We start from the raw sequence: 17,170 nt of genomic DNA on the forward strand, positions 1-17,170 counted from the left end.
TCCAGAGGCCTAACCGTCTCCCTGTGATGCTGTGCTTCAGTGGTCACGCTCCTAGTCCGCCTTCATGTTCCATCCTGTACACCTGGCTCTGCCTTTTAGATAACAATAGCAAATTAGTGAAAGTACTAAGTCTCTGATAAGCAGAAATAATGGCATAAGCTGTCTCTCTCTCTTCCTCTTTCTCTCTGCCTTGGCTGCCAGGCAGGGAAGGGCCCCCTGTCCAGTGGACACATGACCCACGTGACCTTACCTATCATTGGAGATGACTCACACTCTTTACCCTGCCCCTTTTGCTTTGTATCCAATAAATAACAGCGCAGCCAGACATTCGGGGCCACTACCGGTCTCCACGTCTTGGTGGTAGTGGTCCCCGGGGCCCAGCTGTCTTTTCTTTTATCTCTTTGTCTTGTGTCTTTATTTCTACACTCTCTCGTCTCTGCACACGGGGAGAAAAACCCTCCGACCCTGTGGGGCTGGTCCCTACACCAATCTACCATAACAGATACCTCAGCCAACTGTTGAAGTTATCACTGCACACCAGGCCTGCCAGAATCCCCCAAGACTCTTGTGTTTTCACTGCGCAGCCCCAATCTGGCCCAGTAACCAACCTCAGCTTCCCAGCCCTCCATTTCCCTGAGTAAATACTGCCTGGAAACAATCCTTGTACCAATCTCTGTATCCGCCAGGAGTATTTGTTATTGGAAACGTAATGCAGTTCTGACCTTAAGCAGAAAATAAACGTATTTATTGGTTAGCTCTCAGAATCCACAGAAAGGATGGAGAACCCAGGCTCAGAATTCCAGAGGAGCCCAACAGTCAAAATCACACCTGCAACCGGCCCAGTAAATATACAGAAGCTGCCAGCAGGGGGCAGCAGAGGCCACAGCACGGGATCTACAACATCCCGGGGGACTGAAGCTCAAGACGCCCCCCGCAGCTACTGCAGCCCCACTGCCCCGGGAGCTGGCAGTTGCAACCCCTGCCAAGACCACCAGAAAACATTGTCCACTGTGCCCTCCTCTTTGTTTCCCTAACACTTGACCTGATATCCAAGGCAGTAGCTTCGACTTGCTGAGCATAAACCCTGTGCACACCTGCTCGTTCTATTGCCAGGGAGGCTGCAAAAGGAGGATGCGGCTATTTCTGCTTCCATCATGGAAGGCTGGGATTCCACAGGCACCTAAAGGAAAGAGGGAGAGATGGGAATGGGAATGTCCTCCAGACAGCTCTGGCAGGATCGGATGTGGGAGAGTGAGGGTCCCACCCCAGCGGGGGTCTACCCATGTCCGTGTCTTGGACATGTTGAGAGTTTTTCCAGAAGGCAGAGATGAAGTGTGGTCTGACAACACCCAAGTGACCCCAGAGGGTGTCATAATAGACTGGAAGGGCGACACATCCCAGGCACCTGCCACCCATCACACACACCTCCCACACACTGGCATCCTTCCGCCCCAGGCACACACAAATCCTCAGTCCAGAGATCAACTGTCTCAGCTCTAAATTTGCATATCCTGTGTGTAGACTCACTGATCACAACCTCTGCCCAGCCTGGCTTGTGCATACTTCTTTCTTACTGTCAGGGGAGGAGCCCGGCCTGGTACTCCCATTGGCCTGTAGATTCACCTCCCCTGGGCATGGCCCCAGGACCCAGGATAATACCTGTGCCTCCTGCCCAGAACCTTCCAAGCAGACACAATGGTAAGAATGGTGTCTGTCCTGCTGTCTCTGCTGCTGCTTCTGGGTCCTGCTGTCCTCCAGGAGACCCGAGATGGTGAGTGGGGAAAGCAAGGGATGGGTGCTGGAGAGGACTGGAAGGAGGTGAGGAACAGGACATGTGGCTGGGAGAAGGGCTGGATGCAGCTGGGATTCCCTGGCATATGGCAGGAACAGGTGTCCAAGGCTGTCAACTCCCTCAGCTCACACACTTCCAGGAGCATTCAGGGAGCCTCTGCCCTCACCCAAAATAAGACCTTCAGGAATCTGAATCTAAAACCCCTTAGTTTACAGTGAAAACAAAGACTCCAAAGACCAAGCGACCTGCTTGGGGTGGAGAGCCAGGACGGAGCAGGAACCACAGGCCTGGAGCTGCTTCTGCTCCTGTTCCTTCCCTCCTTCCGATGGCTGGGTACACCTGCCTGACGCTGAGGAAAAGAGAGAACAGCCCCCAAGGGGAAAGTGGGAAGGCAGGTTGGCTGGAGGGATGGTGCTAGAAGGAAACCCGTGCCCTCACCCCACACTCAGACACCACTGCAGTGGGTCTGGAAAGCGAGTGGCCGGAAGAGAAGACAGTGGGAGCTTGGGGAGATCAAGATTCATTTATAGGAGAGGGGAAGGAGGCTGTTTGTGGCATGAGAATGTGCAGGATAAAGACATGGAAGTGAATGGCTTCTCAGTTGTGTGAGTTTAAAATTCATGCCGGGCGCGGTGGCTCACGCCTGTAATCCCAGCACTTTGGGAGGCCGAGGTGGGTGGATCACGAGGTCAGGAGATCGAGACCATCCTGGCTAACACGGTGAAACCCCGTCTCTACTAAATATACAAAAAATTAGCCGGGCGTAATGGCGGGGGCCTGTAGTCTCAGCTACTCGGGATGCTGAGGCAGGAGAATGGTGTGAACCCGAGAGATGGAGCTTGCAGTGAGCAGAGATCGCGCCACTGCACTCCAGCCTGGGCAACAGAGCGAGACTCTGTCTCAAAAAAATAAATAAATAAATAAAATAAAATAAAATTCATGACATTTACAAATTGTCAAAATAGGTGTTTCACGTTAGTTTTATAATAATCACATTTATAATATTAATCCCATTCTGCACCCAAATATGAATTATTCGGGGTTCTCCAGAGAAACAAAACTAATATACATTGTATAAACACTCACGTATGTATATATGAATATACATTGTATATTCATATGTACACTAAATATATGTGTATATGTATAATATACATATATACGTGTATGTATATACAAAACAGAGAAAGGGAGGAGTTTTATTTAATATTTCTTGTGGCTCACACAATTCTGAGGGCTAAAAGTCCTAAACCAGCAAAGCAAGCCAGCAGGCTAGAGACCAAGCAAAGAGTTGGTGTTGCGGTCCTGAGTCCAAGGGTAGTCTAGAGGCAGAATTCTTTCTTCTCTGGGGGACCTCAGCCTTTTCTCTTGATGCCTTCCACTGATTGGATGAGGCCCATCCACACTGTAGAGGGTAATCTGTTTTACTCAAGGTCTGATTTAAAGGCTAATCACATTCAGAAACTCATGAGCAAGAATGACTTCAGTACTTAAATTAGAAATCTGCCATATGACTTCCAACATTACTAACACTCATGTAAATTATATTCTAAATTAACTATGGAACTAATTGTGGAAATGTCCCACTCTCTCAGCTTCCATCTTGTACCAAACTGCAAGATACAATGCCAGGAATTCTGAGAGGTATCCTAGCCTTACCCTATGCTGATCCATTCTGGGTCACTTCTTGAGTTTTCTAGTAAATTCACCTTCCTACACTTTCTAACTATATGTATTTGTCCGGTTAGACTAGAAATGTTTATTTCTCATGTCAAGTTCAATGCAGATTGGGCAAGGTTCCTCTCCTCCACAGGGTGACTCAGGGATCCAGGCTGTTTGCATCTTGGGACTCTTCTGTTTCATCCTGTGGCCTCCACAGTCAACGAAAGGGATAAGAGACCGTAGGGGCAAGCCAGATGGTAGAGCCTTGGACCAGAAGAAAGACATCAGTCACTTCCACTCACATTCTTGTTTGACAAAACTCAGTCACATGGTTCCAATCTATCTATAAGGAGGCTGAGAAATGTTAACTTCTTCTGTGCCAAGCAGATTAAACTCTGTAGTGAAGAAACAGAATGGTCTCTGAAATATCATCCCCAGCATGAAAGTAGAGCCTGTTTCCTTGAGTGAGGCTCCAATGGTGTGAAGCTGATGGCAGAGGAGAGAGCTGGGGAGGAAGAGGCCAGTGGCCAGGCCTCCCCTCCTGGCCCTCTGCAGCCCCACAATGGGACACCCTTGCATGGACCCCAGCCCTCAGAGTCTTTTCTTTTGCAGGTCATTACTCTCTGACCTATCTCTACACTGGGCTGTCCAGGTCTGGCAAAGGCACCCACAGGCTGCAGGGCACTGTCTTCCTCAATGGCCATGCCTTCTTCCACTACAACAGTGAAGACAGGAAGGCTGAGCCCCTGGGACCATGGAGACATGCGGAAGGAGTAGAGGACTGGGAGAAGCAGAGCCAAGTTCAGAAGGCCAGGGAGGACATCTTTATGGAGACCCTGAACAACATCATGGAGTATTACAACGACGGTAACGGTCAGTGAACAACAGACCGCGGGGGTGGAAGGTCTAACCCAAGAGGCAGCCCCCCAGGTGTGAGTGGCAAGGGGTCAGCAGGATGGAAATAGTCCCAATCCCAGGGGAGGAACAGGAGACACAGCAGAAACACAGACATGTCCGCATCCCACCCCCCCCACAGCACAGTGTTGTCCCCTTCCCCATCGATTGCCCCATCCTCATCCCAGGTCTCAGGTCACACAGGAAGTGATGGCAGAGTCACTTCCTATCTAGGCACCTCTGACCTCTCACCTCCACTCCCCACCCATCAGAGGCTGATCTCCCCATGAGAAGGCATCAGACTCACCCCTGTCCAGGGAGGTTGCCTGGAGAATGAGCCACTCTCAAAGTCACTCAGACCTGGGCTCACCTGGTGGCTCTGCCAGTCCTACCTGTTGACAGTGAAATGTTCCCAAAATATCTGGTCGAAATCTGCAAACATTGGAGCACTGAGACCTATCTCCAAACAAGTCTGTAATATTTAACTATGTCTGTTCTATGAAGGATGTCACAGTCTGTCCTGATCTCCCTTGCAGCTCCATCACCTAGCACAGGGTACAGCCAATATTGGCTCAATTGAAATTTGTGGAATCAACAGAGAAAAGCACCCAGCACACACCGTAGCCCATGCTGGGGGCTCAGGAAGTGCTGCATTCAAAACCACAGGCTGTTAGAGATCCCTGCAGCCCTAAAGTTCCTCCTCACCATAAGATGCAGACCCAGGAAGGGCCACCTGCACTGTGGTCGGAGGAGCTGGTGGCAGAGCCCGTGCAGAGACGGTCCCCCTGCCCCCGGCCCAGCGTTCTTTCTCCCAAACCACACTGCCAGCCCCAAGGCAGCCAACCCCAGGCCTGGTGAACTGCTGGTGTTAAATTATCATGGAGTGGGTATCAAAAGATGGGCTTCTAAGTACAAAAATGCCCAAGGTGCTACATGGGATCTGAAGGTTTCCCAAAGGAGGCAAGAGATAAGCAGACGTTTGAAGGATGAGGGATGGGAGGTCTTGGTAAGGAAAATGACCCAGGCTGTGTGTTAGCCATAGGAGAGGAGGGGGCACAGGTGATCAGAAAAGACACTGGGGGAAGCATTGATGGACAGGAATAGAAATGGCAAAGTGGATAATTACGAGGAAGGAGGATGAAGAGATGAACACAGGGTATTAGAAAATAAGAGTAGCTGACATTTACTGAGCACTTACTTTGTGCCAGGCCCATTTATGAGCATATATAATGCTCAGAATAACCCCCTGAAACCGTGCTTTTGGCACTGCTGTTTCAGGGGTGAGGAAATAAAGGCACAAGGAGGTGACTGGCTCCAGTTCACACAACACACCAGGTTGGGGCGGGAAGAGACCTGGGACTTGAGCCCAGACAGCTTGAGAGCTGTGAGAGTCTATGCCAACAGCACCAACCTGTGCTAGGTAAACACCTGTTTTTATAATCAGAATGAAGAGGCTGTGTCCTCTGCCCTATGAGGTCCATTTCTGAGAGTTGTTGCTAATGGGCAAGAAGGTTGGGACTTTAGAGATTTGGGATAAAGATATCAAACACCAGAAAGGAAGAAAGAAGTGATCAGGCCAGGCGCAGTGGCTCGCATCTGTAATCCCAGCACTTTGGGACACCAAGGCAGTCAGATCACCTGAGGTCAGGAGTTCAAGACCAGCCTGGCCAACATGGCGAAACCCCATCTATACTAAATATACAAAAATTAGCCTCGTGTGGTGTTGCGCACCTGGAATTCCAGCTACTCAGCAGACTGAGGCAGGAGAATTGCTTGAACCCGGGAGATGGAGGTTGCAGTGAGCCAAGATCATGACACTGCACTCCAGCCTGGGCAGCAGAGTAAGACTCTGTCTCAAAAAAAAGAAACAAAGAAATAGTCAGACAGATTAGGTTGATTTAGGTGATGATATGAACTCCACCTAGAACTGAGAGAAAAGGAGAGCCTTCCTTTCCTCATATGGAATCACAAATAATTTCTATCAAATTCGGAAATGTACTTTGGTGTGGTTGTGACAGGTTCCTAAATACTCCCCGTAAGTTCAAACAAATAAAAAGAGATGCTACAGAAGAGACAGAAATCTGCCCACGGCCTGTAGCTCTCTTAACTTCCCTGGCTGGGAGGAATGCATATTTCATCTCAAATTGGCCCGAAATGCCAATCCATATAGCCTTTGCCACTCTGTGTCAACTGTACGTCCAGATAAAATCATATGCCATGATTACGGAACTGCATGCTTAGATTGCAAAAGCCTTTCCTCCTATTGAGTTGTGAAGAGTGCAGGACTAAGAGTTATTCAGTTGGCACTAGGCTGACTGGCTTCCTGTGGGGTCAGGGGAGGTTTCAGGGTCTCATGCCTTGCAGGAAAGGTTTGGTTGTGAGATCCAGAATAACAGAAGCACTGGAGCATTCTGGAAGAATGCCTATGATGGAAAGGACTACATTGAATTCAACAAAGAAATCCCAGCCTGAGTCCCCTTGGTCCCGGAAGCCCAGAACACCAAGCAGAAGTAGGAGGCAGAACCAGTCTACGTGCAGCGGGCCAAGGCTTACCTGGAGGAGGAGTGCCCTGCAACTCTGCGGAAATACCTGAAATACAGCGAAAATATCCTGGACCGGCAAGGTACTCACTGCTTCCTGCTATCCAGTGCTAAGCTGGGAAAAACCAAGGTGATCTCAGGCTGGGAGCTCAGAGAGCATCTTAGGCCAATCTCCTCTATCCATGTAAGTCACGTAGAACCCCAGTTTTCAACTTCCAGGATTCATTCCTTTCCTAGGAGGACATCAAAATTTCAGGCAGAATGGGCCAGGAAAGCCACTGATTCACTGGTAGGCTTCCCTAAATATCACCCATTGAGAGATGAGGAGCTGGAGGTGACAGAGGTGAGGGTAACACTGTGTGTAAGAGGCAGAGCTGCAGCCAGGCATGCTGGCTCACGCCTGTAATCCCAACACTTTGGGAGTGAGTCCAAGGTGGGTGGATCACTTGAGGTTAGGAGTTCGAGACCAGCCTGGCCAACATGATGAAACCTCGTCTCTACCAAAAATACAGAAATTAGCCTGGCGTGGTGGCAGGCGCCTGTAATCCCAGCTACTCGGGAGGCTGAGGCATGAAAATTGCTTGAACCCAGGAGGACTAGATTGCAATGAGCCAAGATCGCGCCACTGCACTTTAGCCTGGGCAATAGTGTGAGACTCAGTCTCAAAAAAAAAAAAAAGAAAAAAAAAAAGGAAGAGCTAGGACTTGAATTCCAGATTTCAGATTCCAAATGCCATCGTTGTTTCTCTCTACAATGATGCCTCCCATCTGGGTGGTGGAGAGAAGGGAGGTGTGTAAAATGTCAGCCCCAGAAAGACAACAGCGAGCCAGTGTGAATGGAATCGATGGCTGCAAGCTGAGACTTGGATTGCAGACATAGTGAGACTCAGGATTGTGCAGTGCTGCAGGGAAGCGGTTGCTGGATAGAGGCATGGGCTGAACCAAGCAGCTGGACTGAGATTGGGGGACAGAACTCCAAAGCCCACTCAGATGTGGGAAAACATGGGAAAGTGCACAGAGCATTCACAACTTATCAGAGTCAATACATGGGTGGGGTGGAGAATGGGCGAGAGGGGAGCCAGGACATTCCATGATCCAACAGAGAAGGATCAGGGAAAGCCTCAGCCTTCCCTGATCTTCTGGAAAGTGTCCCAGGGCAGGGGGCAGTGGGGCGGGCAGATACAGAGCTTAGAGCTCTGCTGATTGCTGACATCCAGGGGTAGGGGTGAGAAGAGACCTGGGCCGGGAGAAGTCGACCTCAAACCTGCAGTGTCACACTCTATCCCTCCACAGATCCTCCCTCTGTGGTGGTCACCAGCCACCAGGCCCCAGGAGAAAAGAAGAAACTGAAGTGCCTGGCCTACGACTTCTACCCAGGGAAAATTGATGTGCACTGGACTCGGGCCGGCGAGGTGCAGGAGCCTGAGTTACGGGGAGATGTTCTTCACGGTGGAAACGGCACTTACCTGACCTGGTTGTTGGTGCATGTGCCCCCGCAGGACACAGCCCCCTACTCCTGCCACGTGCAGCACAGCAGCCTGGCCCAGCCCCTCGTGGTGCCCGGGGAGGCCAGGTAGGAAGCAAGGGCTGGAGGCAATGTGGGATCTCAGCCCCAGTAGCTGCCCTTCCTGCCTGATGTGGGAGCTGAACCACCGAAATCACGGTCAATGGATCCTCAAGGCCCAAGGAGCAGTGTGGGGGGACAGACAGGAGGTGGATTTGGAGACCGAAGACTGGGATGCCTGTCCTGAGCTGACTCGGACCCAAAAACCATCTCACCTTGAACCACCCCCCGCCATTGTCTAATCTGTGGAAACTAATAAATAATCATCTCTCTTTGTCAAGCACGACAGAGAACAGTATTAACTGTAAAATGCTATAGAAATGTGATGTGATTTTCTCATTGGTCCTGCTCCCAAGCACTGAATTCATCTGAAACTCTTGGTTTCCCTTGGAGGCCATGGTTCCTGGGCACCCTGACTTGGGCAATCCCAAGCATGGCCCGGACCCGCTGTCCCTTAGGGATTGTTCAGGTGTCCCCTGCTGACATCCACAGGCGTGGCCATGGCCACTCTGGCTGTGAGGTGCTAGAACCCTGCAAGCTCTTTCACACAGCCAAGCCTCTTCTGTGCCTCAGTTTCCCCACACTTCTTGGCTTCCTGGGAGACCCAGCCCTCCACTCCAGCTGCTCCACATCTCCACACCATGTTCGCCTTGGCCCACCAGCCAAAGCTTATTTGAGAGCTCTCAGCTCTCCAGGGTACAGCTCAATGAAGCGGGAATTGGCCCTGAGGTTCTCAGACTCCCTCTGAGTCCCTGAGAGTGAGTTTCCTCAAATGAGTCGCCAACTGCCATGCACAGGTATCAACCCCAAACACACAGCAGAGCTCTCACCTTGACCTTCTCATGAAGCCTCACCTGCCTGTGTCTGTGCTTTTCCTTCCTGTGGGAAAAGAACTTTCCTTTTTTTCTTCCTTTTTCTTTTTTTTTTTTTTTTTTTTTTTTTTGAGATGGAGTCTTGCTCTGTTGCCCAGCCTGGATTGCAGTGTTGCAATCTTGGCTTACTGCAAACTCCGCCTCCCGGGTTCCAACGATTCTCCTGCCTCAGCCTCCCAAGTAGCTGGGATTACAGGCATCAGCCACTACGCCCGGCTAATTTTTCTATTTTTAGTAGAGACAGGGTTTCACCATGTTGGCAAGGCTCGTCTCGAACTCCTGACCTCAGGTGATCTGCCTGCCTCGGCCTCCCAAAATGCTGGCATTACAGGCGTGAGCCACTGTGTCTAGCGACAAGAACTTTCTTTACATCCTATACTCAGCCTCCCACTCTGGATTATTCCAAAATCCATCCTCCAAGCTGGGTTCCATAGAAGAATCATTCCCAGTCTTTGGAATTCTGAGTTAATCATCTTATCTTTCATGAAAGCCTAAATTTGAAGGCTACAATTTTTTGTTTTAACTCTTCGACTCCAATTTGAAAATCAAAGCTGAGAAATTACTTTTTTTTTTAAAGTCTACATGAAATCCACCTTTCTCCCTTCCAGGGCAAAAACATCCTATATGAACAGTAGCCAAGTTCAGGAAAGAAAATGCAAATAGTCGCCAGGCGCGGTGGCTCACGCCTATAATCTCAGCACTTTGGGAGGCCCAGGCGGGCGGATCACGAGGTCAAGGATCAAGACCAGCCTGGCCAACATAGTGAAACCCCGTCTTCACTGAAAACACAAAAAATTAGCCGGGTGTGGTGGTGTGTGCCTATAATTTCAGCTACTTGGGAGGCTGAGGCAGGAGAATAGCTGGGTTTGGTGATGTGTGCCTGTAATCCCAGCTACGGGGGAGGCTGAGGCAGGAGGATCACGTGAACCCAGGAGGCAGGGGTTGCAGTGAGCTGAGATCTCGCCACTGCACTCCAGCCTGGGCGACAGTGCAAGACTCTGTCTCAAAAAAAGAAAATGCAAATAATCAAGAGGAAAAAATATAGCATGTGAAATGTGAATATGAGGACACTTGGAGCAAATAAAAGGTGAAAGTTAAACATTTAAGATCAACGAAGAAACCAAAATCCACATGATCAGACCAGGGCTAAGGAAAATTGGAATAGGAGATGTGACCTCATCTATAACAGGAGACATGGATGATGATAAAGGAGGAGAGAGAAGCCACAGGATTCAAGTCCTGGGCAGGTGTGGGGCAGGAGGAGAGGGACACAGGGCTACTGAGATACTCAGGGAAAACTTCCTGGAGCAATTCGGATTTCAGAGAGATGTGGAGGCCTAAGACAGCTTGCCAAGTCGAGGTCAAAAGATTTCCATGCAGAATGGGATTTTACATTCCCTGTTCTTTTGAGTCTCCAGTGCCTACCAGAGAATCAAATATACAATAGGTCCGGGCACAGTGGCTCATGCCTGTAATCTCAGCTCTTTGGGATGCCAAAGTGGGAGGATTGCTTGAGCCAGGAGTTCCAGATCAGTCTGGGCAACATAGCAAGACCCTGTCTCTACATTTAAAAAAATAAAAAATTATCTGGGCATGGTGGCACACACTTGTAGTCCCAGCTACTTGGGAGGCTGAGGCAGGAAGATCACTTGAGCATGGGAGGTCAAGGCTGCTGTGAGCTATGATTGTACTATTGCACTCCAGCCTGAGCAACAGAGCAAGACCGTGTCTCAAAAATAAATAAATAAATACACATATTAATACAATAGGTAATTAATACATAATTTCTGGATGAATCAATAAATACGTAAGCAAAGGCAATAGAAAGCACTAAATATTTCTGACGACCACGAAGAACCTTTTGGCTGGGACAGTGAATTCTACTGGGAAAGAAGTTTGAAAAAGCAAAGCTCAGAGAAATTGAAGAGGACCTTAACATATGTATACCTTGCTATATCTGATTGATGTCTTTTGCCTGATTCAGTGTGCATCATTCCTCCAGCCTACCTGGGAACTATCCCCAGGAGAGTCCACCAGAGAGAGACAAGATAGTCTAAGGCAGGGGTCCCCAACTCCCGGTACCCGTTCATAGCCAGTTAGGAGCCGAACCACGCAGCAGAAGGTGAGCTGCAGGGTCGAAGCTTCATCTGTATTTACAGCTGCTCCCCCACCCCCCGACCATTGCTCCAATTACCGCCTGAGCTCACCTCCTGTCAGATCGGCAGCAGCATTAGACTCTCACAGAAGCACGAACCCTATTGTGAACTGTGCAAGAAAGGTATGTAGGCTGCCCGCTCCTTATGAGATCTAACGCCTGATGATCTGTCACTGTCTCCCATCAACCCCAGATGGGACCATCTAGTTGCAAGAAAACAAGCTCAGGGCTCCCACTGATTCTACACCGTGGCGAGTTGTAGAATTATTTCATTATATATTACGATGTAATAATAATAGAAATAAAGTGCACAATAAACGGGATGCACTGGAATCATCCCAAAACCATTCCCCTCCCCAGTCCGTGGAAAAACTGTCTTCTACGGAGCCGGTCCCTAGTGCCAAAGAGATTGGGGACCGCCGGCTTAAACAAAGAGGTCTTTTTCTCAAGCAGGTTCCAATCAGCGCTAGGCCGGATTCGCTATGGCTTTTGCCTGCCCCCTAGTGGTCAAGGAAATAGTTGCAGCCAAGTGTTAGGATCCAGTCCTTGAGAATTTGGCTCAAAGCCTGGATGCAAAGGCCATGAGATAACGGTCATCCGGTCTTCCTCGCACAACTCACACAATTCTCGCCGTCTTTTTTTTTTTTAAGAGGGAATTTCACTCTTGTTGCCCAGGCTGGAGTGCAGTGGCGCGATCTCGGCTCACTGCAACTTCCAACTCCTGGGTTCAAGCGATTCTCCTGCTTCAGCCTCCCATGTAGCTGAGATTACAGGCGCCCGCCACCACACCCAGCTAATTTTTTGTATTTTTAGTAGAGACGGGGTTTCATCATGTTGGCCAGGCTGGTCTCCAACTCCTGACCTCAGATGATCCACTCGCCTCGACCTCCCAAAGTGCTGGGATTACAGGCATGAACCACGGCGCCCAGCCAATTCCTGCCTTTTATTATGGAGGAAAACCTCCGCGGGATTACAGCACACCCAGTGGACGTCTGTTACCTCATCGAACTTGGGTCCAACCACCGGGTGCTGCAAACACTGACATGTGGATTCCAGTGAGAGAAACTGAGGCATTTATTGCAGGGTGCCAAGCAAGGAGAATCAGCCAGCTCAAGTGTAAGACCTAAATTCCCCAATGGCTTGTAGGTAAGGGTTTTTAGAGGCAGAGAAGCAGAAGTTACAGGCAAAGTCATAAATCAATACATGGCCCGGCACAGTGGCTCACGCCTGTAATTCCAACACTTTGGGAGGCCAAGGCAGGTGGATCACCTGAGGTCAGGAGTTCAAGACCAGCCTGGCCAACATGGTGAAACCCCATCTCTACTAAAAATACACAAAATTAGCCAGCTGTGGTGGTGCACGCCTATAATCCCAGCTACTCAGAAGGCTGAGGCAGGAAAATCTCTTGAAGCCGGGAGGCAGAGGTTGCAGTGAGCAGAGATCGCGACACTACACTACACCCTAGGCGACAGAGCAAGACTCTGTCTCAAAAAATAAAAAATAAATCACTCATAACCTGGTGCAATGGTTCACACCTGTAATCCCAGCACTTTGGGAGGCCGAGGCAGGAGGATTGCTTGAAGTCAGGAGTTTGAGACCAGACTGGGAAACATAGCAAGACCCCATATCTATAAAAACATTAAAACTTAGCTGGGCGTGGTGTCATGCACCTGTAGTCCCAGCTACTCAGGAAGCCGAGGCAGGACGATTGCTTGAGCCCAACAGTTGGAAGCTGCAGTGAGCTATGATCACACCATTGTACTCCAGCCTGGGCAACAGAGGTCTTTAAAAACAAAAAATCAATAACGTGTAATAATCTTTTTTTAAAACTCCCTAACAGGATGTGTGGCAGGTTCCTGAGGTGGTGGCTGCTGGCGGAGGAGAGCTGGCACTCCACCCCCGTGGGGCGCCTCCTGTTTCCCGTGCTCCTGGGATTCCGCCTTGTGCTGCTGGCTGCCAGTGGGCCTGGAGTCTATGGCGATGAGCAGAGTGAATTCGTGTGTCACACCCAGCAGCCGGGCTGCAAGGCTGCCTGCTTCGATGCCTTCCACCCGCTCTCCCCGCTGCGTTTCTGGGTCTTCCAGGTCATCTTGGTGGCTGTACCTAGCGTCCTCTACATGGGTTTCACTCTGTATCACGTGATCTGGCACTGGGAAGAATCATGAAAGGGGACGGAGGAAGAGGACACCCTGATCCAGGGAGGGGAGAGCAGCAGAGATACCCCAGGGGCTGGAAGCCTCAGGCTGCTCTGAGCTTATGTGGCTCAGCTGGGAGCTCAGCTGGTCCTGGAGGGGACAGCGCCGGGGTTGCAGTACCACCTGTATGGGTTCCAGATGCCCAGCTCCTTTGCATGTGGCCAAGAGCCTTGCCCGTATAGATTAACTTGCACCTTTTCCCACCCCTCGGAGAAGATCATCTTTCTAAAAGCCATGTTTGGGGTCAGTGGGTTCCGTCTCTTGTTCACTCTTTTGGAGATTGTGCTTCTGGGTCTGGGAAGACTGTGTAAGCCCCTGCGGAACTTCCTGGGTGGGGCCTCTTCCTCCAGCCACGCCCTGGCCCTGAGCAGCAAAAGGAACCTCCAGCAGACACTGTGAGCCATCCATCGGCCTGGTCAGCCTTGTTCCATTTCAGAGACCATGTTCCCCACAGCCCCAGTGACTAGGGGTGACATCTCCTGACCTCCCCCACCTGTGGATATGGCCAAGTCGAGGTACCGGTTAACCAAAGATGCTGAAGGAGTGAAGAACCAGCCATCCCCTAATACGCAGGATGGTTATATTGATTATGTCAAACTGAAAACTTTGGAGAAACTCCTCTCTCAGAAAGCGATAACTGGGCCAGACACGGTGGCTCATGCCTGTAATCCCAGCATTTTGGGAGGCCTAGGCAGGTGGATCACTTGAGGTCAGGAGTTCAAGACCAGCCAGGCCAACATGGTGAAACCCGTGTCTACTAAAACTACAAAAATTCTGGGCATGGTGGTGGGCGTCTGTAATCCCAGCTACTTGAGAGGCTGAGGCAGGAGAATTGCTTGAACCTGGGAGGTGGAGGTTGCAAAGAGCCGAGATCATGCCACTGCACTCCAGCCTGGGTGACTCCGTCTCAAAAAAAAAAAAAAAAAAAAAAAGTGCTGGTGTTCCTTAGGACTGTGTTGCGGGCCCTCTCTCTCCCCATTCCACACCCTCACTCTCCCTGGATAACTTTCCCTTTGTCTATAGCTCCAGCCACCACGTCCTTGCGGATGACTTCCCAGTGCAGATCCCCAGTCTGGGCTACCTCTCGAGTTCAGGCTTGAAATCCTGTCGTTCGGCCAGGCACGGTGGCTCACGCTGTAATATCAGCCCTCTGGGGGTCGAGGCGGGCAGATCACCTGAGGTCAAGTGTCTGAGACCAGTCTGGCCAACATGGTGAAACCCCGTCTCTACTAAAAATACAAAAAATTACAGGCATGCATGGTGGTGCGTGCCTATAATCCCAACTACTTGGGAGGCTGAGACAGGAGAATCGCTTGAACCCTGGAGGCAGAGGTTGCAGTGAGCCGAGATCGCACCACTGCACTCCAGCTTGGGCGACAGAGACTCTGGTCAGATGCCTCCTAGGCTCAGGCACCTGCTCTGGGAGCAGTGGGCTCCTCTGCATCCTTGAGCACCTAATCTTTATGTGCAGGATCATAAAACACACCGTGCGGATCAGTGTCAGATTTCCTTCTTAAGCTAATAGAACAGAATGCAGCTTTCAGGATTCAGGAAAGATTTTTCTGCACAGGCAAGTCAGTTGCAGTCGCGTGTTATTGCCACCAGAGGACACAATGATCCTGCTAACATGATGAAAGACTCTCCCAGCGGATTTAATAACAATCTTAGCAATTTTTTATTTATTTTTTTTTTCTTGCTCCGTCGCCAGGCTGGAGTGCAGTGGTGCCATCTCGGCTCACTGTAACCTCCGCCTCCCGCCTCCTGGGTTCAAGCGATTCTCCTGCCTCAGTCTGCCGAGTAGCTGGGATTACAGGCGCGCACCAACATGCCCGGCTAATTTTTGTATTTTTAGTAGAGACGGGGTTTCACCATATAGACCAGGCTGGTGGGTGATCCGCCCATCTTGGCCTCCCAACGTGCTAGGATTACAGGGGTGAGCCACCGCGCCTGGCCTTAATCTACTTTTTATATCTGTGGTTTTGCCTTTCCTGGTCATTCCATCTATGTTGAATACTACAATACGTGGCCTTCTGTGCAAGGGCAATTGGTTCCATGCTTAGTCCCACCAGATGATAGATGTTAACCAATATTTACTGATAAGTTGGGGCCTCTCCGACAAGGAGACCAATGAGGCTGTCTCCTTCAAAAGCATCTCAGCTCTGTCTTGGAGCTTTGAGTTGAGAGTTTTTTTTTCAAGCCAGATTTTACGTCGTTCCCAGACACATTCACAAGCCTTGCTGGACCAAAGAAAAAAAACGAGTTAGCCTGGGCACAGCGGCTCACACCTGTAATACCAACACTTTGGGAGGCCAAGATGGGTGGATGGCTTGATGCCAGGAGTTCGAGACCAGCCTGGTCAACATAGCGAGACCCCCCATCTCTAAAAAATAAAATAAAGTACATATACCAGCAATGATGTATAACCGAAAAATAAATAAATAAACAAGTTAATATTGAAATGTCATGTTTGCCCCCAACCCAAATAAGCACTATAACCTCTTGTTATTCACTTCTCATGCAACCAGTCTTCTGTTCTCTGTGAGTCTTTAGGAAATGAGGAGCATGATCTTCTAGCAGTAAAACACCTGTAGAGAATTGCCTTATGTTTTTTGTTTGTTTATTTGTTTGTGTGCTTTGGTTTGGTTTGCTTTTTTTTTTTTTTTTTTTTTTTTTTTGAGATGGAGTCTCGCCCTGTTGCCCAGGCTGGAGTGTAGTGGCGAAATCTCGGCTCACTGCAACCTCCACCTCCCTGGTTCAAGCAATTCCCCTGTCTCAGCCTCCCGAGTAGCTGAGATTACAGGTGCACACCACCACGCCCGGCTAATTTTTTTGTATTTTTAGTAGAGATGGGGTTTCACCATGTTGGCCAGACTGGTCTCGAACTTCTGACCTCAGGCAATCCGCCTGCCTCAGCCTCCCAAAGCGCTGGGATTACAGGCATGAGCCACTGCGCCCCGCCTCCATGTTAATCACTCTTTCTGATTTCAAATAACTCATTATCCCCATGACCTTATGGATTTGTTTTTCCTCTTCATCCACAAAATTCTCCAGAGAAGTCTCCCTTGTTATCTCTTGGCTGTGCTTTCTATCTCACCAGTTATCTTTCTCCAAAGAGCTTCCTCTGCAAAGAAGCTTTGTATATGAAGACCATGTGGGGGCTGAATCAAGACCAAGTTTCACAACCTAAAAGTAGTTCACAAAGCTTCCTTGCCTCTATTCTCTGCAAATCTGTAAACTCTTCAGCTGACCCAATTTCTCTCTTTAGCCTTCAGAGATTATTTTATTTTATTTTATTTCATTTCATTTCATTTCATTTTGACAGAATCTAGCTCTGTCGCCCAGGCTGGAGTGCAGTGGCACCATCTTTGCTCACTGCAACCTCCCCCTCACAGGTTCAAGCAACTGTCCTGCCTCAGCCTCCCGAGTAGCTGGGATTACAGGCGTGAGCCACCACGCCCAGCTGATTTTTTTTTGTATTTTTAGTAGAGACAGGGTTT

General features: G+C 49.7%; 2 pseudogenes across 1 annotated transcript, besides 2 other annotated features; both read left to right on the top strand.

The window, feature by feature from the left end:
* The first annotated feature begins 1,684 nt into the window (after nt 1-1,684).
* On the top strand, nt 1,685-5,160 carry AZGP1P1 (AZGP1 pseudogene 1; annotated as a pseudogene). Its single transcript, NR_036679.1, has 2 exons — nt 1,685-1,771; nt 4,067-5,160. The product of NR_036679.1 is annotated as an AZGP1 pseudogene 1 (transcript).
* Nucleotides 3,986-4,141: a silencer, noted in NCBI's record as "fragment chr7:99580686-99580841 (GRCh37/hg19 assembly coordinates)". NCBI's record gives its function as "represses an EF-1alpha promoter that drives an FKBP-Casp9 reporter gene in an ReSE screen in K562 erythroleukemia cells {active_cell/tissue: K562}" and the evidence as "EXISTENCE:reporter gene assay evidence [ECO:0000049][PMID:32094911]".
* Nucleotides 13,320-13,996, top strand: LOC100128334 (gap junction protein gamma 3 pseudogene; annotated as a pseudogene).
* Nucleotides 14,999-15,500: an enhancer, noted in NCBI's record as "H3K27ac hESC enhancer chr7:99591699-99592200 (GRCh37/hg19 assembly coordinates)". NCBI's record gives its function as "activates a minimal SCP1, AML or CMV promoter by ChIP-STARR-seq in naive H9 embryonic stem cells {active_cell/tissue: H9 hESC(naive)}" and the evidence as "EXISTENCE:reporter gene assay evidence [ECO:0000049][PMID:30033119]".

This window comes from Homo sapiens, chromosome 7, assembly GCF_000001405.40.
Source record: "Homo sapiens chromosome 7, GRCh38.p14 Primary Assembly".
Classification (NCBI taxonomy): domain Eukaryota; kingdom Metazoa; phylum Chordata; class Mammalia; order Primates; family Hominidae; genus Homo; species Homo sapiens.